Source organism: Homo sapiens, chromosome 8 (assembly GCF_000001405.40).
Source record: "Homo sapiens chromosome 8, GRCh38.p14 Primary Assembly".
In the NCBI taxonomy this organism is placed as follows: domain Eukaryota; kingdom Metazoa; phylum Chordata; class Mammalia; order Primates; family Hominidae; genus Homo; species Homo sapiens.
Window position 1 is genome coordinate 73549325 of NC_000008.11, and position 24920 is coordinate 73574244.

Below are 24920 nucleotides of genomic sequence, written 5' to 3' on the forward strand. Positions count from 1 at the left end.
GATCCAAAAGGTTCGATTCTAAAATACGATAAAAACTTTAGGTGAGACCAAACAAGAATAACAGAACTGCTGAGAATGTGTAAGTGTTCGGTCACATTCTGCTCTCTTAAGTCAGTTTTATTAATAACTTTAATTGTATAATAATTTTACCTATTTTGTAGGTTTAAAAGAATTTGAGCTTGGATACCTACATTCAGTTGATCAAAGTAGCTTTTTGTAATTTATAAATTCAAATTAAAGACTGGGTGATGAAACAAAATTAAAAGTTAAAACAACTTTGTTTTCAATACACTCATATATTTTTACTTTGTAATACAATATAGCTGTCACATACAATGGCTCTAGTAGGCTTAAATCAAATTGCAATGGGCAAGGAAAGCCAAAGAAGGGTTTACACAATATTCAATAAGCAACAGTATCTGTTCAGTGTGCAATAAAATAAAAAAGTTCTAACCTAGAAACACAGAAAAAGAATTTATTGTTTTTAAGTTTCAGAAATAAAAGTAACAGAATAGTGTATAATCTGTAACAAGCTGGTCCTGTAATTTCTAAACTACAGTCCAATTAAAACATTTAAGTAATAGAAACAATCTACATGTTTTTCTACCAGGTAAATATACCTGAGAGGGTTACCTATAAAGAAATAGGCTTTAAAACTTTTAACCACAAAGAACCTTCTGCTGCGACATTATGAAGATGGGCTATGCATGTGGCCAGACTAAGTCATTTCCCGGAGATTCTGCTCACTGCTTAGCTGCAGGTAGTGGTCCATCAATGACAGAGTATTTTACATCAATACCAGCTCATTCAACCAAAGAAGCACAGTAATATTTTAAAATCACCTGTTTATATTCATTAGTATGTAAAAATCACAATACACAGATTTGGAAACATATAACGTGTCCATAAAAAAGAGTATATTATGTAAGCATAAGCTTTTTAAAAAGGCCTTAGCAATGCAATAATGAGGGAAGCAGACTCTACATGTTGACTACAGTGAAGATATGTTAAAATTATAATTATTGTCATTGCCAAGAGCTTAGAAATAAAAACAAATTTAAAAAATTAAGACATTCTGGTAGCAAAATTACAGCTACTGTAACAACAGCTCCAAGCAAAAAATCAATTCAGAGCTTGAATGCAATTTGTGCTTTGTTTCTATAAGAATGCAGTGTTACTCTCAGACATTTCTAAATGATTAGATTCATAAATAAGCAGTTAATTTCTTTTCATCACAATTTATTTCTAATTCATCCTACGGAGATTATAGATAGAACTAAAAATTACTTAGCTTTTTTCCAGTACTTTATATAAATTGAGATCTTTTTTAAACAGTGATTTATTGTGTTTCTTAAGGTAAAACAACAAAAACAAATTCTAAAATTGTAACTTTAAATTAAGTGGTTAAAATTTCAGATGACAGAGCCGATAACTGGTAACAGCTTCTTGAAGTTCATATTAAGAGTCCAATTAGAAACACTAACAACTACCTGGCAATAGTTTGAAAGAATCAGAAGGGTTCGGTGAAGTGAAAAAAAAATCCGAACATGCAAAATACCCCCCAAAACACATGACCTTCTTTTTCATTTTATAATCTAAACTTGTAAAATATTTATAAATACATGATCATTCTACACAATACAGATCTTCTAGAGCATTTCTAAAGGATATTACAGTTTTTGGTCTTAAGGAATAAAGACTAAGATGGAAAAGGAGATGAAAACAGTGAAATCTGAGGAAGCAATACACTCTCTACACACAAGCAAACTAGTTCATCCAGTCAAGTTAGCGGTTACAGTTCAGTACATGATTTTCAAGGCAACTAAGAAATCAAGACACAGATATTTCCCCTTCCTAGAGTTTACAATTCTTTCAAAAGCTCCAATGTATCCATAAAGGAGTGCTGATTTTTGTGGGGTTTTTTCCCAGAAGGAAACAAAGAATAAATAGGGGAAAAAAAGTTTCCATCCCTAAATTCACATACACAACAAGTTAAGTTAAACTATAAGCTAGTTTTAGACTACCCAGTGAAACAGAATTGTTGGTACTATCTGAGGCAGGTGCTACCCTCCCTAGTCAGTTCAAAACATGATCCAGTAAAACAAATACACATTGTTATGCCTCAAACAACTATAAAGCATTTCATTATTCTTCAAATATCATGTTTAATTAACTCCTAAGGTAATAGACTTCTAGAATGTTGTATCTTAATGGTGTACCTGAATCAATACTAGCAATAGAATGCAAAATTCAAAATTGCTATAAAGGTAAAATCATCATAAAAAGAAACTCAATCCTTATGTAAAAAAAGGGAGAACTGAGTGTGAAATACTAACACCAAATGTCTGAAGGCAGAATTTTTGTTTGTGGAAGACAGAGCGAAGAGATAGATGCACCTAATCAAGACCAAATAGAAGACAGTGAAGAATATGAAAAATGCTTAAAAAAGAAGAAGGAAAATGGAGAAGAGACAGGCAGCAAAAGAATTACTAGATAGATCAAAAATAAGAGAAAATGAGGCATGTGCATATGGCTTTTTTGTCTGTCCTTTGTGTTCCTAAATAACTTAAAACGTAAGTGGCATGTAGGCCATACTAGCAGGCAAGAATGAGCCTTGTGATGTATACAGATGAAGAATCTGAGGCTAATGAATTGTTTTGTTTTTTGTTTTTGCTTTTAATTCATACCTGAAAGCCTTGAATCCTTGCTAAATATTCCAGTTGTTTTGAAGGTTGTACTGGAGAACAAGGGGGAGTAGGAGAACTTCCTTTTAAACCTATGGCTTCAGCTGTAGAAGATGTTCCATTCATAAGGAGTTCCCTGGCAATTGTAGCTGAACTATTCGATGTGGGAGATATACTGAAGAAAGAGCTTGAAGGTTGGTTCATATCTTTGGGTGACAAATAGCCTAGAGTAGTGCCAGAGATTACTTTGTGGCGGCTGGCTTCCATCTCTTGATAAACATCAGGAGACAAATGAAGAATTCCTTTTGGAGCTATAAATAAAATGAAGAACACTGTTATTACACTTAAAATAACCGAAATAGAAACATAGCATTATTAACTCAATGGCTTTACTTGGTGTAGTAACAAAGAAATGAGAAACACTGCCAAACAAGTATCTTTGTCATACTGTAGAGGCAGTTGCAGCTTCTATTGAAAGGTGAATAATGTCTATTTCAATTTTCCTAAAATTAGAGGTTTAAAAACATCCAAAAAAAGTGGTTTCAATGGGACTTATGTGTAGTAGTGAAGCTATAAAGGGACAAGGGAAACTGAATGTGTGGAAGTATAATGGGGCAGAAAATCAGGAATGTGCAGTGTCTTCACCCTGCAATTTAATATTTTATATCTCATAAAAGAGGCATGAAACCCCAACACATACAGCAATTGAGGCACATCAGGTAAAATAAAGGCTGAATCAGTCCAAATTTCTTTGGAGGTACAAACGCATGTATTCAACAGCCTAGTGATCCTCTCACCTCCACAAGGATGTCCCACAGACAACTCTAACTCACGAACACATAAAAAAGCAAATGGGTATCATCTCAAAACTAGCACTGTCTCTAACTTGCTTTGCTCATACTACCATGTGGCTGCTCATGACCCAACCTAGACTCCTGGCAACCATCTCTGATTTACTCATAAGCAAGTAGTTATCGTGTTGCTCAAACATCTCAAGAATATGACCATTGTAGGGATTATCTAGTGCATTAATTCAAGCCAGGCCATGGACAGGTTCTGAAATCAAGAGGAGTGGGGGCTATGTCATTAGTTGATGGAGCTTAAACCATATTAGAGAAGCACTTTCCTTTGACTATCATTTGTCTCAGAGAAGTTTCAAACCACATTTCAAACTGCTTATTCTTATCTTTTGATCAGGTATCAATAACTCTCAAATGATATTATCTTTTAAAATTATTGGTAAGTCACCACTCATAAAGAATGTGCTCTGAGAGACACAACTTAATTTCCTGTTCTTGCCCCTTCCTCTCCTGATGCTAACCTTCTGATTCAAGCTTTCAATGTTTCTCTGCTGCTAGTATTCTCAGTGTCCATTTCCCAAAATGTGTTCTATAACATGGTCCCCAAATAAAATGGTTCCATAAATAAAAACTGAAAATAATGCAAATTACATAATACAAATGCCTTTTGTGAAATTAAAAATACACATTAGCATAGTGAAGAATCAGAAAACTCAAAGAACAAAAATCTATTCGACTTGGTTTAACTCAGGATTCCTGAGTTTACTTTTTGTCCAAGCCTTTAACATAGCATGAATAAAACAGCTAACACTTTGGGAAATGCTGGAGGCTAGCCCAACTCTCCTCTGACTCAGTCATTTCCAATGACCTGTCTTTGAGATTGATGACCTTTTCTTCTGCTTGACATTGTCTGCTATTGAATCCCTCTGGTAACTTTTTCAGTTTATGGTATTTTTTAGCTCCATGCTTTCTGCTTGCTACTTTTTAAAGTTTTCTTTTTGTTGAAATTCTCACTTTTTTTCATGCATTGTTCACCAGACCTCAGTGGGAATGTTTGTAAGGATTACTTTGAATTCTCTGTCAGGTAAATCACATATCTCCATTTCATTAGGGTCAGTTTCTGGAGCTTTATCTCATTCCTTTATTTAGGAAATGTTTTCCTGTTTCTTCATTTTTCCTTGATTCTCTGTGTTTGTGTCTGCACAAACTGGCCTCATACTGGAGAAGATCCTAACCAATCAGCCTGGACAGAGATTCTGGAGGCCTCTCAAACTTTTATGCTAGTCTAATCCACTTTCTTTGTTCTTGGCAGTCCCCAGGCATCAGTCCCTTGCTTGTCTCAGTCCCATCAGAGCTCTGAGACAAGCAAGACTGAAGCCAATTCTTCAGGCAACTCCCAGATAAGTTGGGTCATTGGATACATGGTGCTCCTCTTTGCCTCTCCAGGAAAAAGCTGAAAGCTGAAGCTTTTCAACAGTTAGCTTTGTGCTGGGCTGAGCAGGGGATGGTTACAGTGACCACCACCACCAGCCACCTCTTTCTTCATTGGCCCCGGGGTTGCTAAAATATGCCATGTCCTGTCAGCACTCTGAGACTGGCCAGACAGAAGCCAGTCCTCTGGGTAGCCCCAGAAAAGCTAAGGCATTGGATGCGTGGTATACATCTTTCCCCTTCTAGGCAGAAAGAAGCTGGGAGCTGGGGGTGGAGGGTGGTTGTCCTGATTGTATGGCCCTGCACTGTGAGGAGGGATTATGGCATGAGGGTATCTTAAATTTCCCTGCCAATTAAGATCTGGCTGGTTTCATGCTCACCCGGCATACAGGAGCCTCTTAACTGGTTTCTGGATTTCTCACAAAGAAAAATTGCCTATAAATTATTGTTGAATTGCTGTGTTCCAGGGCTTCCTATTCTACCATCTTGCCAAGGCTAGAACATTCTCTTACTTAAAGGTCTTTCACCAGTTTATCAGTTACACTATAGAACCCAAACTCCTTAGGATAACCTAGGAAGCCCTTAATAATCTGGCTCCTACTTATCGCTCTATCTTCATCTACGAAATATTTCATGAAGATCCCATGCTCCAGTTACACAGATATATCCAATACTCCAGGCTGTTTGATCCCAACACATCTTTATTTCTATTGTTCGGTTACACACATGCACATACTCTCTTAGTTAAGCTCCAACTGCTATTGTGCTAGTTAAGCTTCAGGCATCGCACCAACCAATACTGTCCTGACCTCAAGTCATGCTCAGTCTATCAGGAGAGGAACGAAAATGGATAATACAATGTGATAGGGGTCTCACTAGAGACAGGTGTATAGAGCAGTGGGAATGGGAAAGGAGAAGTGCTAAAAGCTCAGGGAAGGCTTGCTGGAGATGACGATGACAGTAAATTTCAAAGGATGAGGAGAATACAGTCCAGGAGGAAGAGGACTGAGAGCAGATGGCCAGCAGGAGCAAGGGCAGGGACCTGGAGGGTTTGTGTTCTAGGAAACCTCAGGCCATGCCTTATCACAAGAGCATACAGAGTCAGAATTGCAAATGCAGGTGGAGGCACGCAGGGGCCAAGGTCCAGGGAACTTTATCCTGATGCCATTAAGTATAAAAGAGTTTTGTAAGTTTTTTTAAAAACACTTTAAATAGCTTAAAATAATACAGACAGTCCTCCGCATGCATGAGTCCCATATCCCTGGATTCAACCAACTGTGGATAGAAAACATTTGCAAAGAGAAACAACAACAACAAAAACAACAACAAAAAACCCCACACACAATAAAAAATAATGCAACAATAAAAAAAAATACAAAATTTAAAACTAATACAATATAATAACTATTTACATAGCATTTATATAATATTTGATGTTGTGTAATCTAGAGAAGATTTAAGTATACTGGAATATGTGCATAGGTTATATGCAAATATGATGCCATTGCCATTTTCTATCACGGACTTGAGCATCTGTGGATTTTGGTATCTATAAGGTGTCCTGAAACCAATTCTTCACGGATATCAAGGGATGACTGTATATCAATCCTATTTTATGTATTTTCTTTATTCCTTTATGTTAGCTTTCAAATTCTCTACATTAACATGTGTTAGTTTTTTTATAATCAGGAAAAAATTTCAATAAATTTTTTTACAAGAAAACATTATGTACTGAAAAAAGTTAAGATAAATCTCATCAGCCAGAGGACATTACTTTCAACATTTTGCTTTAAAGATATGTTTTTAATCCTGTTTTATCTATGCACTTTTTAGTTGTTGTTTACTTGAAAAAACAAGTTAAATACATAGGAATAAAATATGATCCTGTCACTGTTTATAAAACAATATATTTCTACAACTAATACTAAAAGTATAAAATTTCATTATATGAACTGTTTCTTAAAACAATTCCATATTATCAGACATCTAATTTATCTCCAGTTTTTTGCAATTATAAACACAGTGATGAACATTCTTGTAACTCAATCCTTATTCACATGAAAATTTATTTCCTCAAGTTAGAAGCGGAATTGCTAGTTGAAAGGATATTTTAGAGTTTTTGACACTTAACAAATTGCCCTCCAAAGAAGCTGTACCAATATCAGACGCCCACAGAGATATATGAAAGTATCTTGTTTCCTATTTTGGTATTGGAAATTACTATAAAAAATCTTAAGGCTGGGTGCTGTGGCTCATGCCTGTAATCCCAGCACTTTGGGAGGCCGAAGCTGGCAAATCACGAGGTCAGGAGTTCGAGACCAGCCTGGCCAACATGTTGAAACCCCGTCTCTACTAAAAATACAAAAAATTAGCTGGACGTAGTGGCAGGCGCCTGAAATCCCAGCTACTTGGGAGGCTGAGGCAGGAGAATCGCTTGAACCCGGGAGGTGGAGGTTCCAGTGAGCCAAGATCACGCCACTGCACTACAGCCCAGGCAACTGTCTCAAAAAAAAATCTTTGCCAGTTATCAACAGTAACAGAAAGCAGGTCAGTGGTTGTCTGGGGAGTGGAGCTGGTGGGAGTGACAGATTGCAAAAGGGCATGAGAAATCTTTTGGTGAGATGAAAATGTCAAGACTGATTAAACTGTAGACATTATGTGCAGTTTATTATACTTCAATTATACCTCAATAAAGTTGTAAAAAAAAATTGCCAATTTGACAAATGGAGTGTCATATTACTGATTTTTGTTTTTTACTATCTGCATAAACATTATATATATTTTAGTTTAAAGAATAACTTAAATGTTATAATTCTAACTTCTATACTCAATTTAAAAAATCAAGAAACTTAACAGCATTACTTCAGTATTGTTATTATACAGGACTAATGGGTTTGCCAATAGCAATATTATAAAGCAACAAAAATGCTCTCCACACTCAAGAGAGGCATTACCTCACAGCATAAGAACGTGGAGTTCAGGCTCTCCTATTCTACAGTAAAGCCTAAGTGGACTTTTCTTCACAAATAAAGATTACTTTCTACAGAGTTCAACTAACAGACTAGTCATAGAAATAGCATAAAAACATAGATTTATGTGGTCAAGAACTGAATGACTTTTAACTTGAACATCAGTAACAGTATTTGGATGGGTGTTAATTCACTTAGGATCTTCCTGTTGTAAATTTAAGTCGCTTTTCAATAGTATAAAGATCTAAAAGTAGAATCAAAGAGTAATTTAGGGTATGCATATTTAAGGACCTTATTTTGCTAATTAGGTTTCTCCCAAAAAACTACCCCAGTTCATACTTCTATTAGTAGGATGTGACTGTTTTCCCACACTTCTCCCACAACACGTTTCAGTTACTCTAAATAATCATTGCCACTCTACAATAATTCATTGTTAATTTATTTTTGTTTGGTTACTGCTCAGGATAAACTTTTTCTCATGTAGCTACTTTAGGTCTGTGCCTTCTTTGACCTCAATTTTGCTCATGGACTTCAACCACTACACTTCCCTCGCTCAGGCTTGTAACATCCATTATATTCATTCACCCTTTATCTGAAGAGGTCCTGAACCCATTCTGCCATCATCTATCTTTTGTCCCTGGTTTTGCCTTTGATGCTCCCATCTTGGTACAGTCTATAACTACAGTACACAGTTACAATGCAGATACAACATGGGCACTGTTCTAGTACTTTACTTCTCATTTAATTCCCATAACAACCATATGAAATGGGCATTATTATTTTCCTATATTAGAGATGAAAAAAACTGAAGCATGGAGAAGATATGAAACTCTCCCAAGGTCATATGGATAATAAGCAGCAATGCTAGAATTTGACTCCAGGCAGTCTGCCTCTAGAGTTTGAATACTTAACCATTACCTTAAATAGCCTCCTAAAAGAACAGGTAGGAAACTAAATGCAACATCTCACCAGCTCCAAACCCCTAAGGCTTAAATCCAGTAAGTAAATGCCCGGGGTTTGCCCAGATTGGTTCCAAGGATGACCCATGTCATGATGGTTGTCCCTAGATGTTCCAGAGATGAGCTCACCAAAATCTCACTGAAGTATACAGAGTTTATACATGATTTTAAAGGTCTAAAGTTGCCAGGGACTGTGATATCTTAACACCAGGCTATTGTACCCACTTGACATGTTTTTGCTCAGTAGATCTGTGCTTCTTTCAGATGGGTATATGAATCCTCTGGCACACAAATCTTCCTGGAGCATCTTTATGGAGCTCCAGTTCTTACTGAAGAGTTGAAGAGGGACTTTTGAATTGGAGAGCTCTTAAAAGGTTTTATAAGCGAACTTAGGAGAACCTTGCCTTTCAATGATCACTGATGTCATGATTCTTTCAGAGATGCTGAAGAAGATAAGTGTTTGTGAGTAGCAAGTGGTATCAGAGGTATTAAAACACAGCAAGCCAGGCAGCAAGAAAGATAATGCCACTGATCCAAATGGTTACTGCCACTCCACTGGAACTCCCAGTTTCTCTGGAAGTCCTTGGAATGGGCATAGCTATTTCACAACAAATAATTTCTTTTCATTTTTCACAGAAAAGCTTTGAAAAAAAAAACTTTGTTTCCATTGCCAGCTTGAATTTACGCCTCAACAATGTTGGACTATAAATTTGTTTATAAATACCCAAATATCCAATAATACTCAGGCCCACTTTGCTACAGTGAGTTTTTCACAATAAAAAATTATAATTAAAAATTCTTAAGAACTAGAAACAGGGGCTTCTGGTTCAAAACAGGAAATGTGAGAAAATTATGAACAACAGCATGATTATCTGTCTCTAGTGATTTTTAAAAATCATTTATATGAGAACTGGTAGGCTCTAAGTAAGGTCTGTAGTCTAGTTCATTGTATTATGACAATTTCCTAGTTTTGAAAATGTACTATAGTTATATAAGACATCACCACTGGAAGAAGCTGAGTGACGGGTACATGCAACCTCTTTGTACCATTCTTATAACTTCTTGTGAGTCTATCATTATTACACTTTTAAAAGTTTTTTTGAAAGCACCGTTTTATGCTGCTTTGGGCCTCTCCCTCAACATAGAGACCCCAGAACAGGGTGGTGATGGGGACACCAAAGTGGGAAGGACTGGTGGCAGCACCATTCCTAGATATAGCTCTGAGGATAAGCAGGGCTGGCACTGGCAATGCCTGCTCCTTGACAACTTTGCTCACGGCCTTTGCCTAATGCACAGGCCCTGGCTCCCCAGGCTCTGGGTGCTTGACTTTTAGCTACATGAAAGCAAGGGAGATCCTGATGACAGTGTGGGCCTCATAGCCGGGACCTTGTTCTCTCCCAGGGTAGCCTGAGGCCACGTATTAGTTAAGAGTACATGTGACCCAAGGGAGCCTACTGGACCACCATGGTCATGTCCCTGAAGGTCAGGGACAGGTGGAATGCATCCTTGGCATGATCTTTAGCTACTAGACTGATGTGAGCTACAGAAATCCCCCTTCCTGCTGCCCTGTTGTTGGGATCAAATCGAACAGGTAGTATTTGTAAGTGACTCCACCTCTTCTTTTACACACAGCTCACTGCAAATCTGGTCTTCCAGATAAGGCCCTCAGACCCTTAGTTCTGCCTAATTTTTAAGCCAAATATATACTACTTATGAAATCAAAAATCAACAATGCAAAATATAAACTCTTGTGGAAAACTAAAAAGAGAAAATGTTAGCTAACAGCAAAACAATGAAAAAATAAAAAAATAGGTAAATAATTTGTTAGAGGTTTCTTCTTAAGATCAGTTTCAGAATCACCTTGGAAACGAAAAAGACACACTAAAAAAAGAGTCATTACTGAACAGATTTTTTTTTTTTTTTTTTTTTTTGAGACAGAGTCTCGCTCTGTCCCCCAGGCTGGAGTGCAGTGGCGCCATCTCGGCTCACTGCAAGCTCTGCCTCCCGGGTTCACGCCATTCTCCTGACTCAGCCTCCCGAGTAGCTGGGACTACAGGCTCCCACCACCATGCCTGGCTAATTTTTTATATTTTTAGTAGAGACGGGGTTTCACCGTGTCAGCCAGGATGTTCTCGATCTCCTGACCTCGTGATCCGCCCACCTCGGCCTCCCAAAGTGCTGGGATTACAGGCGTGAGCCACCACGCCTGGCCAAAATGATGTATTTTAATGTGCTCAAAAAGCATAACCTGAACAGTGGTGAAAATCAACCTTGCTCTTACCCTTAGAGTTGAACGGAAGCACTGATTTTATTAATTTGTGCATTTTATTGGTCCTTTTTTTCCTGCTACATTTAACATAATGATGTATGTGAAGGGTTCTTAATTTGGTGAATGTTTATGAATAAAATTACTGACAAAGAACTTTTCAGGAAGATGTTTGCCTTTTGGTGAACACAGTACCAACGGGAAAATGCACTTAGTCCAGTCTTGCCCCCAAAAAGGCAGAATCCCAGGTCATGACATAGCATCCAGCACACCTCCAAGAGGAAGAAGGAGGAATACAAAATAGTAAATAATACATATTCCTCAAAACACCAATAATGAACAGAAATAACAGCAATAAAGGTTTTTCAAAAATGTTTTAAAGATCAATTTATGATGAACTGGGAAATGCCTTTGGAAAGCTTGTACCTTAGTCAAATAAAAGTGCGAGTGAGTTTTCAAATTCAGGACTGGCTGCTATTTTTTCTTTAAAACAGGCAAATGGAAAGTATTTAATAACAAAGAATATAAACCTGGGTATGGTGAATAAATTCATCATTCATCTTTTTTTTTTAAACCTTACACAAATGCAGTAACTTATACTTTTGCCAGAAATTTTCTTTAACAAGAAGATTCTGGAGCCCAAAGTGAGTCATGCAAATCAAAGAACAGTCTGGCACAGGGGTTATTAATAGTGATCCAAGGGCCCCTAAATAGTTTGAAATAGGTTGACTTCACAACAAGGGCAGTGCACATTGTATATGACTCAGAGTCAGTGTGGTGCAGGGAAGTGATTGGGGAGTTCAGGAATTCCCCAGAAGCGCATTCACCACTCATCTTAATAATAAGGAAGATTTCACTTAGTTGGCTTATTTAGAAGAAATTTTTTTCAAGGCTCAGCTTTTCAATAAAGACACAACTGTGACTATTTCTACCAAGTAAGACAAAATAGTTGCTGTGAAAATGATGTTTGAGAGCACCTTGTGAGGATAATGAGTCATCTTCAATTTTTAGTTTATTTAAGTGGGGTTAAAATGTTGCTCGTAAAATAAAGATCGTTCTTCTTGGTTATGATTCTTCTCAGAAAAACTCCATTAGTTATGATTTCCCTACGACAGAAAAACACCAAAAAATGGATTATATAAGTCTGACATATGACAAAAGTGACCTGATCTCTCAGCAGGAAGAAACACATACTGAAATGTCTACCGCAGCAGCTTCCAAACACTGCACCACAATACTCCTCTGCCAGGATTCCTATTGCTTCCTAGTCAATACCTGCAAACGGCTCACAATACAATAATAGTACAATACAATAACAATAATAATTCTGGCTAAAACTCATAGAGTCCTTACTAGATATCAGGCTTGTTCCAAATGCTTTGCATATATTAGTTTAGTAATCCTCACAATGACCCTCAAGAAGTAGGGACTATGAATATTCCCATTTTACACTTGAAGGCCCTAAGACACAGGTGATATGACTGGCTTAAAGTCACAGCCAGTAAGTGGCAGGTGTTGGGGCAGTATCCAGGCATCTGGCTACAGTCAGCAAGTATAACTACCTTTCAGTAGTAAAACAAATAAACCAAGAACTACTGTTCTTATATCTATACATTTAAGAAGTTCTGGGCATTTAGATTCTTGAAATATTCTAACACCATGATAGAGACAAGAAACTGTCAAGATATTGAACTTCATTTCTTCATTTCAGACCTATTTTCTAGGCTCAATGAACCTCAGTCTCCCCTCTCATAGTAAAAGAAAAGATGGAGGTCAGTGCAGTGGCTCACACCTGTGATCCCAACACTTTGGGAGGCCAAGGCAGGAGGATCACTTGAGGCCACAAGTTCAAAACCAGCCTGGGCTATACAGCAAGGTGCTGTCTCCATAAAAAATTAAAACTTTAGCTGGGCATGGTGGCATGCACCTGTAGTCCCAGCTACTCAGGAGGCTGAGGTAGGAGGATCCCTTGAGCAGAGGAGTTCAAGGCTGCAGTGAGCTATAATGGCAACTCTGCACTCCAGCCTGGACACACTGTCTCTTTAAAAAAGATAGAGAGAGAGAGAGACTGAGATTTTTCTCACTGTAAAACCACCCATTGGGAAAAATGTAAAAATAATGCACTTGGCTATTTTCACAATTTTGTTTGTGGGAAGAAAATAAATTCAAATATTAGGTTCACACAAAGAAAAACTTAAGCACAGCCTTAGGATGAAAGAACTTAACCCACAAAACACTTTCTTACAATTCTCCTTATATGATCTAATTATGATTTAACAATTTACTACACATTAGTCTATTATTCAGTCTATTATATATTATTCAGAAACTTATGGAAGAATCCACAATATTATTAATAAAAACAACTAACTGGAACTGTATAAATATTAAGTACTGGGCTGGGTGCAGTGGCTCACACCTATAATCAGCACTTTGGAAGGCTAAGGCAAAAGGGCTGCTTGAGCTCAGGAGTTTAAGACCAGCCTGGGCAACACAGCAAAACCTCATCTCAAAAACTGTATTTTTAAAATAATATATATATATAAAGTACTTATCCAATTTTTAAATTTTCTTGTAAAAATAACAAATTCACTTTTTAGAACCAGGAAAGAAGCAGCCTAGCAAGAAATAAAATTTAGACAAAACACACCTTAGTCCAGCCAAATACACACAAAAAAACCTGTTCTCCCACTTTTATCTATGTATCAAAGGCAGAGAGGGACTTTCACCCTTGCAAAGCTGTAACAACTCTCCCCAACTTCCCTGATGTGGTAGTGTCAGAAAAAACTGAGTAGGCAGCTTGGACTTTCATCCTAGCCCCGTGGTGTCAGTGGAGATCATGTAGGGACACTAAACTTCTACCCCCACCTAGCAGTAATAGGATGCCCCCCACCTCCGTGCTGGAGTGGTGTCAGGAGAGAATAAAGGAGAATCAGAACTAGTGGGAACAAGGTCACCTCACTATGGTGTCAGTGGAGACCATATGGGGACCAGAATTTCCACTCAATCCAGGGCTGGGGGTAGGGGAAAGGGTATGGCTATAACAGCACAACATGAGGAACTCTCATGGTGACAGAACTGTTCTGTATCATATTTATATTAATACCTTAGTTGTGATATTGTACTATAGTTCTGCAAGGTGTTACCAGAGATAAACAAGGCAAAGGGTCCATAGGATCTCTTTGTATTAATTCTTACAACTGCATGTGCATCTACAATTTTCTCAAAATAAAATTTTTATTAATTATTTTAAAATTTATTGTAGAGACAGGATCTTGCTATGTTGCCCAGGCTGGTCTTAAGCTCCTGGCCTCCCACTTCAACCTCCCAAAGCATTGGGATTACATGCATGAGCTACCATGCCTGGCCATCAAAATAAAAAGTTTAATAAAAAAGAAGTCTTGGGTGACACCAGCAAGATGGTAGAACAGGAAGTCCCAGCCCTTATTCCTAACTCATACATTGATTTAACAATGATATACAGACCAAAATACCTTTTTGAGAATTCCAGAATCCAGTTAAGAAGTTGCAGTATCCCAGATGAGCACAAAGCCAAGAATGGCCACACTGAAACATGTAAGAACAATTTCACTTTACCCACACCACCCCCCTAAGTCAGCATAGCTTAGTGCCACATAGCTTAGTGCCGGGAGAGAGCATTCCAGATCACAACTTCTCCCTTGGGGTAAAGGTGAGTGGAATGTGCATCCAACATTTTACGTTTTCAGAGGGCTTCCCAAGGGACTAATTTTTGTCTTGCTTCACTTGGAGTGCCGACAGAGCCAGCATATTTTGGATACCTGGGATATTTAGTTTTCCCGGCACCATTTGTTGAAAATGTGGTACACATACAGCATGGAATACTATGCAGCCATAAAAAAGAATGAGATCATGTCCTTTGCAGGGACATGGATGGAGCTGGAGGCCATTTTCCTTAGCAAACTAACACAGGAACAGATATTAAATACTGCATGTTCTCACTTACAAGTAGGAGCTACATTATGAGACCACATGAACACATAGAGGGGAATAACACACACTGGAGCCTATCGAAGGGTGAAGGGTGGAGGGTGGAGGGTGGAAGGTGGAAGGAGGTAGAGGATCAGGAAAAATAACTAACAGGTACTAGGCTTCATATCTGGATGATGAAATAATCTGTATGACAAGCCCCCATGACACAGTTTACCTACATAACAAACCTGCATGTGTACCCCTGAACTTAAAAAATGAAAGTTAAAAAAAAAAGAAAATATACTCAGTGGGTCCTCAAATAATGTTGTTTTGTTCAACATCATTTTGTTATAATATTGATGAGAAAAAAAATCAAATCCCACCTGGGCCACTGTCTTATGTGGAGTTCTCATGTTCTGCCCATATCTGCACTGGTTTTCTCCAGGTCCTCCAGTTTCATCCCACATTTAAAAGATATGCATATTAGGTTCACTGGCAGGTCTAAGTTGTCCCAGTATGGGTGTCGTGTGTGTGTGTGTGCGCACACGCGTGTGCACATGTGTCCTGGAATGGAATGACATCCTGTCCAGAGTTGGTTCTTGCCTTTGCTCCCTAAGCTGCTAGGATAGGCTCTGACCAACCTCAATCCTGAACTGGAATAAGTGGGTTAGAAAATGAATGACTGAATGTATACAAATGAATGTAAAATTAAAATCTGTAAAATGCACAATAATCATATAATATGGTTTGGCTCTGAGTCTGCACCCAAATCTCATGTGGAATTGGAGTCCCAGTGTTGGAGGAGGGGCCTGGTGGGAGGTGATTGAATCATGGGGGCAGACTTCCCCCTTGCTGTTCTCCTGATAGAGTGTTCACAAGATTTGCCTGTTTGAAAGTGTGTAGCACCTCCCCTGCTTGCTCTCTCTCTCCTGCTGGCCATGTGAAGATGTGCTTGCTTCCCCTTTGCCATCTGCCATGACTGTAAGCTTCCTGAGGCCTTCCCAGAAGCAAAATCCTGAACAGCCTGCAGAACTATTATCCAATTAAACCTCTTTTCTTTATAAATTACTCAGTCTCAGGTATCTCTTTACAGCCCTGCAAAAACAGACTAATACATTACACAAATGCACAACAATAAACAATGCAGTATAAAAGTGTTCAGTGAGCCCACCATATTTGTTATTGTTTGTTTTTTAATTGTGTGGTGGTAGGAAGTACTGCTTACAATTTTCACTTTGCAAACATTTATACTTTGATTTAACCCACCACCACCATGACTGCTATCACTCACTTATTCACCCCACATTGAGTAAACAATTATCTTGTTTTTATTAAACTTTCTTAATTGTACATGTAAGCTCATATTTATTTCAATGTTTAATATTACAATTTGGGTCTTTATTGAGAAGTCTGGTGATATTTCTCTAACCACAAATATGTTGTGAGAACTTAACTCTTGTTTATATCAATCAGCCTATGATAAAACTGATTTCGTTATATGTCATTTCACTTAAAGTAGTAGTTTCCAAGAACCTATCAATGATGTTAAGTAAGAACTTACTGGATTTAATTTTTTTAGTGGTAAAGCAAAAAAAAGAAGTCTAATGTTCTGTATTAACACAAAATGTAATAAAGTAAAAACAACAATAGTACATTGGTAAATGCACCAGACTGGAGCCCAGCTATCTGGGTTTGAGTTGAGGCAGCAGATATTCTCCTTATCATGCTTTCTTCATCTGTAAGATGAATTAGTCTTAAGGAACTTTTCATTTCTTTCAGCCCTAATAATCTATGAATCATCTTAACACAAACCAGAAAGCTTGGAATAAAAGAACACACTTGAATAACATCACCCAAAAAGCCTGTTGAGTGTTTTTTAAATTTGACTATTACTAAAGTTTTTTTAAATCTTAAGAAAAATCAAGTAATGTAGATGGCTGTGTCACTGATGTAATAATAGTTAAAACAAACATTTCACATAGTTTCTCAGCCATTTAGTGTTTTTACATGATCCACCCAAATATCAATCTGGTATCTGAAACAATAGTTTGAACATTTTCCATGTAATAAAACATCTTAAATGTTTTATAAAAAAAGATTCTGGTACATGATATATAAAACATTCTTTCAAAAAAATGCGTACTTAATTTTAATGGAATTTCTTAAAAACACTATTCTCTTTTTTTCCTTTAATTATCAGCAAATGATATATCTAGAAATAAAGGTGCTGTCTAGTGGCAACTGCAGAGACCCTGGAGTCAGAAGACATGAGTTCAAGTCTTCACTACCTTTAACTAAGAGTGTCTTTAGACCCGTTATAAAATCAACTGAGCCTCAATTTTCCTGTATGTAAAACATGTGAGGTTGGACATTCTCCAACCTTTTCACACTTAAGCCTCCTTATGTTGTTTTTCTTCTATGTATACCATGCTTAAAGGATCTGTCTTTCAGACAGACTGCATTTATTAAGTAATAATAAATCATCTTTCAAAGACTGCCAACCTGAGATTCAGAACATCTTGAGGTCTGAATTCAAATAAAATTCTAATCCAAAGCAAAGCAATCTACTAAGAGTAACTGTATTACTTCCATTAGGTTGCTGAAATACTAATTATGCCAACCATTATTATATTGAATCCAACAATACCACGCTGAGAATCTCAGGTCTGGATCACACCTAAATTCCTAGAATTCTAATTGTTATATGTTATAAACTACTCAAAAGATCATTAATACAGTGGGGAAAAAAGTGAAAATGCAATTCTTGCATTTGCTCAAATACTGAGCACCAACAATGCCAGACACTGTGCTATGTGATTTACTTTTTAAGATTAAAAAAAAGGCCGGGCGCAGTGGTTCACGCTTGTAATCCCAGCACCTTGGGAGGCCGAGGCGGGCAGATCACCTCAGGTTGGGAGTTTGAGACTAGCCTGACCAACATGGAGAAACTCCATCTCTACTAAAAATACAAAATTAGCCAGGTGTGGTGGCATATGCCTGTAATCCCAGCTACTCAGGAGGCTGAGGCAGAAGAATCACTTGAATCCGTGAGGTGGAGGTGGCAGTGAGCCAAGATTACACCACTGCACTCCAGCCTGGGCAACAAGAAAACGATTAAAAAACGATTAAAAAAATTGATTTTTTTTTCAAATAATATTTGTCTCTCTCTCTTTTTTTTTTTTAAGATGAAGTCTCACTCATTCTGTGGTCCAGGCTGCAGTGGCACAATCTGTGCTCACTGCAACCTCCACCTCCCAGGTTCAAGCAATTCTCCCACCTTGGCCTCCTGAGTAATTGGAATTATAGGCATGTGCCACACCATGCCTGGCAAATTTTTGTATTTTTAGCAGAGATGGAGTTTCACCGTGTTGGCCAGGCTGGTCTCAAACTCCTGACCTCAAGTGATCTACCCACCTCAGCCCCTGAAGTGCTGGGATTACAGGCATCCCACCTTTTCTTACTCGCTGGGGGGGAGGGGGGAGTTGGGCAGGATGGTGGTGTTTATCTTAAATATGGACTCGTCTTTCAATAAGCAATTTCATCTTTAAAAACTACTGAAATCATCAATAATACCAAAAAGGGTACATTATAATAAACAAATACTTTCTAAAAAAATGAAAGAATGAATGATGCATTAACATTATACAAAGAAGTTTTAGGGAAACTATCTGCACTGCCTTCCTGAACCTTAATAGTTTTCAACCATACAGTTAGTTCCCTGTTGCTTATTTTAGTGCTTCATAATTGATGCTTTGACTACTCTCACATCTCTTATTTCTGTTGCCAAGGAAGGAGATTTTTGTCTTTTCAATTACTTGTACTCCATGTAGTACGTGCAAGAAGATTACAGACCAAGTACATCTTTATTCACATTTGTTTAAAACACACATTACTTTAAACTGACTCATGTTAAAACACAAGAAAGACTCAATGATTAAGCTGGGTGCAGTGGCTCATGCCTATAATCCTAACACTTTGGGAAGCCAAGGCAGGATGACTTCAGGCCAGGAGTTTGAGACAAGCCTGGGCAACTCCACAAGACCTTGTCTCTAGTCGGGGGAGTGGGGGCAAAGCTGGGTGTGGTGCCACGTGCCTGTAAAATTAGCTACTTGAAAGGCTGAGGCAAGAGGATCCCTTGAGCCCAGGAGTTCAAGTCTGCAATGAGCTATGATCATGCCACTGCACAACTGACAGAATTTTGCTAACAGAGTGAGACCCTATCTCAAAAAAAAAAAGACAACGATTAAAACTGGCACATAGATAGTTAGATGAACAGAGGAGAACAGAAAGTCTGGAATAATACCAAATTCATAATCTTAGTATATGGTAACAGTGAACTCTCAATGCAGTGGGGAATAAAGTTGGGTCCATACTTTCAGTATAAGTAACAGATGGATCAAGACTTCAAGATTTCAAAAAATGAAACTATAAGAGTTCCAGAAGATAACTTAAAAGAAATGTTTTGATTGGAGGTTCCAAGATGGCCAGATAGGAACAGCTCCATGCTGCAGCTCCCAGTGTGAGCGATGCAGAAGACGGGTGATTTCTGCATTCCAACTGAGGTACCAGGTTCATCTCACTGGGGCTTGTCGGACAGTGGGTGCAGCACACGGAGCAGGGTGGGGCATCATCTCACCTGGGAAGCGCAAGGGGTCGGGGAATTCCCTTTCCTAGACAAGGGAAGCTGTGACAGATGGTACCTGGAAAATCAGGACACCGCCACCCTAATACTGCGCTTTTCCAACGGTCTTAGCAAACGGCACACCAAGAGATTATATCCTGCGCCTGGCTCAGAGGGTCCCATGCCTACAGAGCCTCGCTCACTGCTAGCACAGCAGTCTGAGATCAGACTGCAAAGTGGCAGTGAGGCTGGGGGAGGGCCGTCCGCCATTGCTGAGGCTTGAGTAGGTAAACAAAGCAGCCGGGAAGCTCGAACTGGGTGGAGCCCACCACAGCTCAAGGAGGCCTGCCCGCCTCTGTAGACTCCACCTCCGGGGGCAGGGCATAGCTGAACAAAAGTCAGCAGAAACTTCTGCAGACTTAAACGTCCCTGTCTGACAGCTTTGAAGAGAGTAGTGGTTCTCCCAGCATGGAGTCTGAGATCTGAGAACAGACAGACTGCCACCTCAAGTGGGTCCCTGACCCCCGAGAAGCCTAACTGGGAGACACCTTCCAGTAGGGGCTGACTGACACCTCATACAGCTGGGTGCCCCTCTGAGACGACGCTTCCACAGGAACGATCAGGCAGCAATATTTGTCATTCTGCAATATTTGCTGTTCTGCAGCCTCCACTGGTGATACCCAGGCAAACAGGATCTGGAGTGGACCTCCAGCAAACTCCAACAGACCTGCAGCTAAGGGTCCTGACTGTTGGAAGGAAAACTAACAAACAGAAAGGACATCCACACCAAAACCCCATCTGTACGTCACCATCATCAAAGACCAAAGGTAGATAAAACCACAAAGATGGGGAGAAACCAGAGCAGGAAAGCTGAAAATTCTAAAAATCAGAATGCCTCTTCTCCTCCAAAGGAATACAGCTCCTCGCCAGCAACGGAAAAAAGCTGGATGGAGAACGACTTCTACAAGTTGAGAGAAGAAGGCTTCAGATGATTGGTAACAACAAACTTCTCCAAGCTAAAGGAGGATGTTCAAACCCATTGCAAAGGAGCTAAAAACCTTGAAAAAAGATTCGACAAACGGCTAACTAGAATAAACAGTGTAGAGAAGACTTTAAATGACCTGATGGAGCTGAAAACCATGGCACAAGAACTACGTGACGCATGCACAAGCTTCAGTACTGATTTGATCAAGTGGAAGTAAGGGTATCAGTGATTAAAGATTAAACTAATGAAATAAAGCGAGAAGTTTAGAGAAAAAAAGAGTAAAAAGAAATGAACAAAGCCTCCAAGAAATATGGGACTATGTGAAAAGACCAAATCTACGTCTGATTGGTGTACCTGAAAGTGACGGGGGGAATGGAACCAAGTTGGAAAACACTCTGCAGGATATTATCCAGGAGAACTTCCCCAATCTAGAAAGCCTCCAAGAAATAGCAGACTATGTGAATAGACCAAATCTACGTCTGACTGGTGTACCTGAAAGTGACGGGAAGAACGGAACCAAGTTGGAAAACACTCTGCAGTATATTATCCCAGAGAACTTCCCCAACCTAGCAAGGCAGGCCAACATTCAAATTCAGGAAATACAGAGAACGCCACAAAGATGCTCCTCAAGAAGAGCAACCCCAAGACACGTAATTGTCAGATTCACCAAAGCTGAAATGAAGGAAAAAATTTTAAGGGCAGCCAGAGAGAAAGGTCATGTTACCCATAAAGGGAAGCCCATCAGACTAACAGCGGATCTCTCGGCAGAAACTCTACAAGCCAGAAGAGAGTGGGGGCCAATATTCACCATTCTTAAAGAAAAGAATTTTCAACCCAGAATTTCATATCTAGCCAAACTAAGCTTCATAAGTGAAGGAGAAATAAAATCCTTTACAGACAAGCAAATGCTGAGAGATTTTAGTAAATGGGCTAAATGCTCCAATTAAAAGACAGACTGGCAGTTTGGATAAAGAGTCAAGACCCATCAGTGTGCTGTATTCAGGAGACCCATCTCACATGCAGAGACACACATAGGCTCAAAATAAAGGGATGGAGGAAGATCTACCAAGCAAATGGGAAACAAAAAAAAGCAGGGGTTGCAATCCTAGTCTCTGACAAAACAGACTTTAAACCAACAAAGATCAAAAGAGACAAAGAAGGCCATTACATAATGGTAAAGGGATCAATTCAACAAGAAGAGCTAACTATCCTAAATATATATGCACCCAATACAGGAGCACCCAGATTCATAAAGCAAGACCTTAGAGACCTACAAAGAGACTTAGACTCCCACACAATAATAATGGGAGACTTTAAACACCCCACTGTCAACATTAGACAGATCAACGAGACAGAAAGTTAACACGGAAATCCAGGAATTGAATTCAGCTCTGCACCAAGTGGACCTAATAGACATCTACAGAACTCTCCACCCCAAATCAACAGAATATACATTCTTCTCAGCACCACATCGCACTTATTCCAAAATTGATCACAGAGTTGGAAGTAAAGCACTCCTCAGCAAATGTAAAAGAACAGAAATTATAACAAACTGTCTCTCAGACCACAGTGCAATCAAACTAGAACTCAGGATTAAGAAACTCACTCAAAACCACACAACTACATGGAAACTGAACAACCTGCTGCTGAATGACTACTGGGTACATAACGAAATGAAGGCAGAAATAAAGATGTTCTTTGAAACCAATGAGAACAAAGACACAACATACCAGAATCTCTGGGACATATTTAAAGCAGTGTATAGAGGGAAATTTATAGCACTAAATGCCCACAAGAGAAAGCAGGAAAGATCTAAAATTGACACCCTAACATCACAATTAAAAGAACTAGAGAAGCAAGAGCAAACACATTCAAAAGCTAGCAGAAGGCAAGAAATAACTAAGATCAGAGCAGAACTAAGGGAGATAGAGACACAAAAAACCCTTCAAAAAAAATCAATGAATCCAGGAAGCGGTTTTTTGAAAAGATCAACAAAATTGATAGACCGCTAGCAAGACTAATAAAGATGAAAAGACAGAAGAATCAAATAGACGCAATAAAAAATGATAAAGGGGATATCACCACCCATCCCACAGAAATACAAACTACCATCAGAGAATACTATAAACACCTCTACGCAAATAAACTAGAAAATCTAGAAGAAATGGATAGATTTCTGGACACATACACCCTCCTAAGACTAAACCAGGAAGAACTTGAATCCCTGAATAGACCAATAACAGGCTCTGAAATTGAGGCAATAATTAACAGCTACCAATCAAAAAAATTCCAGGACCAGATGGATTCACAGCTGAATTCTACCAGAGGTACAAAGAGAAGCTGATACCATTCCTTCTGAAACTATTCCAATCAATGGAAAAAGAGGGAATCCTCCCTAACTCATTTTTTGAGGCCAACATCATCCTGATACCAAAGCCTGGCAGAGATACAACAAAAAAAGAGAATTTTAGACCAGTATCCCTACTGAACATTGATGCAAAAATCCTCAATAAAATACTGGCAAACCGAATCCAGCAACACATCAAAAAGCTTATCCACCACGATCAAGTTGGCTTCATCCCTGGGATGCAAGGCTGGTTCAACAAATGCAAATCAATAAATGTAATCCAGCATATAAAGAGAACCAAAGACGAAAACCACGATTATCTCAATAGATGCAGAAAAGGCCTTTGACAAAATTCAACAGCCCTTCATGCTAAAAACTCTGAAAAAACTAGGTATTGATGGGATGTATCTCAAAATAATAAGAGCTATTTATGACAAACCCACAGCCAATATCATACTGAATGGGCAAAAACTGGAAGCATTCCCTTTGAAAACTGGCTCAAGACAGGGATGCCCTCTCTCACCACTCCTATTCAACATAGTGTTGGAAGTCCTGGCCATGGCAATCAGGCAGGAGAGAGAAAGAAAGAAAGGGTATTTCATTAGGAAAAGAGGAAGTCAAATTGTCCCTGTTTGCAGATGACATGATTGTATATTTAGAAAACCTCATTGTCTCAGCCCAAAATCCCCTTAAGCTGATAAGCAACTTCAGCAATGTCTCAGGATACAAAATCAATGTGCAAAAATCACAAGCATTCCTATACACCAGTAACAGACAAACAGAGAGCCAAATCATGAGTGAACTCCCATTCACAATTGCTTCAAAGAGAATACAATACCTAGGAATCCAACTTATAAGGGATGTGAAGGACCTCTTCAAGGAGAACTACAAACCAGTGCTCAACAACATAAAAGAGGACACAAACAAATGGAAGGACATTCCATGCTCATGGATAGGAAGAATCAATATCGTGAAAATGGGCATACTGCCCAAGGTAATTTATAGATTCAATGCCATTCCCATCAAGCTACCAATGACTTTCTTCACAGAATTGGAAAAACCTACGTTAAAGTTCATATGGAACCAAAAAAGAGCCTGCATTGCCAAGTCAATCCTAAGCCAAAAGAACAAAGCTGGAGGCATCATGCTACCTGACTTCAAACTATACTACCGAGCTACAGTAACCAAAACAGCAGCGTACTGGTACCAAAACAGAGATATAGACCAATGGAACAGAACAGAGCCCTCAGAAATAATACCACACATTTATAACCATCTGATCTTTGACAAACCTGCCAAAAACAGAAATGGGGAGAGGATTCCCTATTCAACAAATGGTGCTGGGAAAACTGGCTAGCCATATGTAGAAAGCTGAAACTGGATCCCTTCCTTACACCTTATACAAAAAAATTAATTCAAGATGGATTAAACACTGAAATGTTAGACCTAAAACCACAAAAACCCTAAAAGAAAACCTAGGCAATACCATTCAGGACATAGGCATGGGCAAGGAGTTCATGACTAAAACACCAAAAACAATGGCAACAAAAGCCAAAATTGACAAATGGGATCTAATTAAACTAAAGAGCTTCTGCACAGCAAAAGAAACTACCATCAGAGTGAACAGGCAACCTACAGAATAGGAGAAAATTTTTGCAATCTACCCATCTGACAAAGGGCTGATATCCAGAATCTACAAAGAACTTAAACAAATTTACAAGAAAAAAATCAAGCAACCCCATCAAAAAGTGGGCAAAGAATATGAACAGACACTTCTCAAAAGAAGACATTTATGCAGCCAAAAGACACATGAAAAAATGCTCATCATCACTGGCCATCAGAGAAATGCAAATCAAAACCACAATGAGATACCATCTCATACCAGTTAGAATGGCGATAATTAAAAA

General features: G+C 38.7%; 1 protein-coding gene across 7 annotated transcripts in view; it reads right to left on the reverse strand.

Moving 5' to 3' along the window:
• The window catches only part of STAU2 (staufen double-stranded RNA binding protein 2), a 327112-nt gene that overhangs the window by 128956 nt on the left and 173236 nt on the right, over window positions 1-24920 (reverse strand). For 4 of the 7 annotated variants that reach the window (NM_001164383.2, NM_001164382.2, NM_001164381.2 and 1 more), the window contains one exon: window positions 2688-2995. In NM_001164383.2, the coding sequence (NP_001157855.1) occupies window positions 2688-2995 (308 nt within the window). Of the gene's footprint in view, window positions 1-276; window positions 2996-24920 lie in introns of those variants that run through there. The other 3 variants (NM_001164384.2, NM_001164385.2, NM_014393.3) reach the window with 1 other exon arrangement.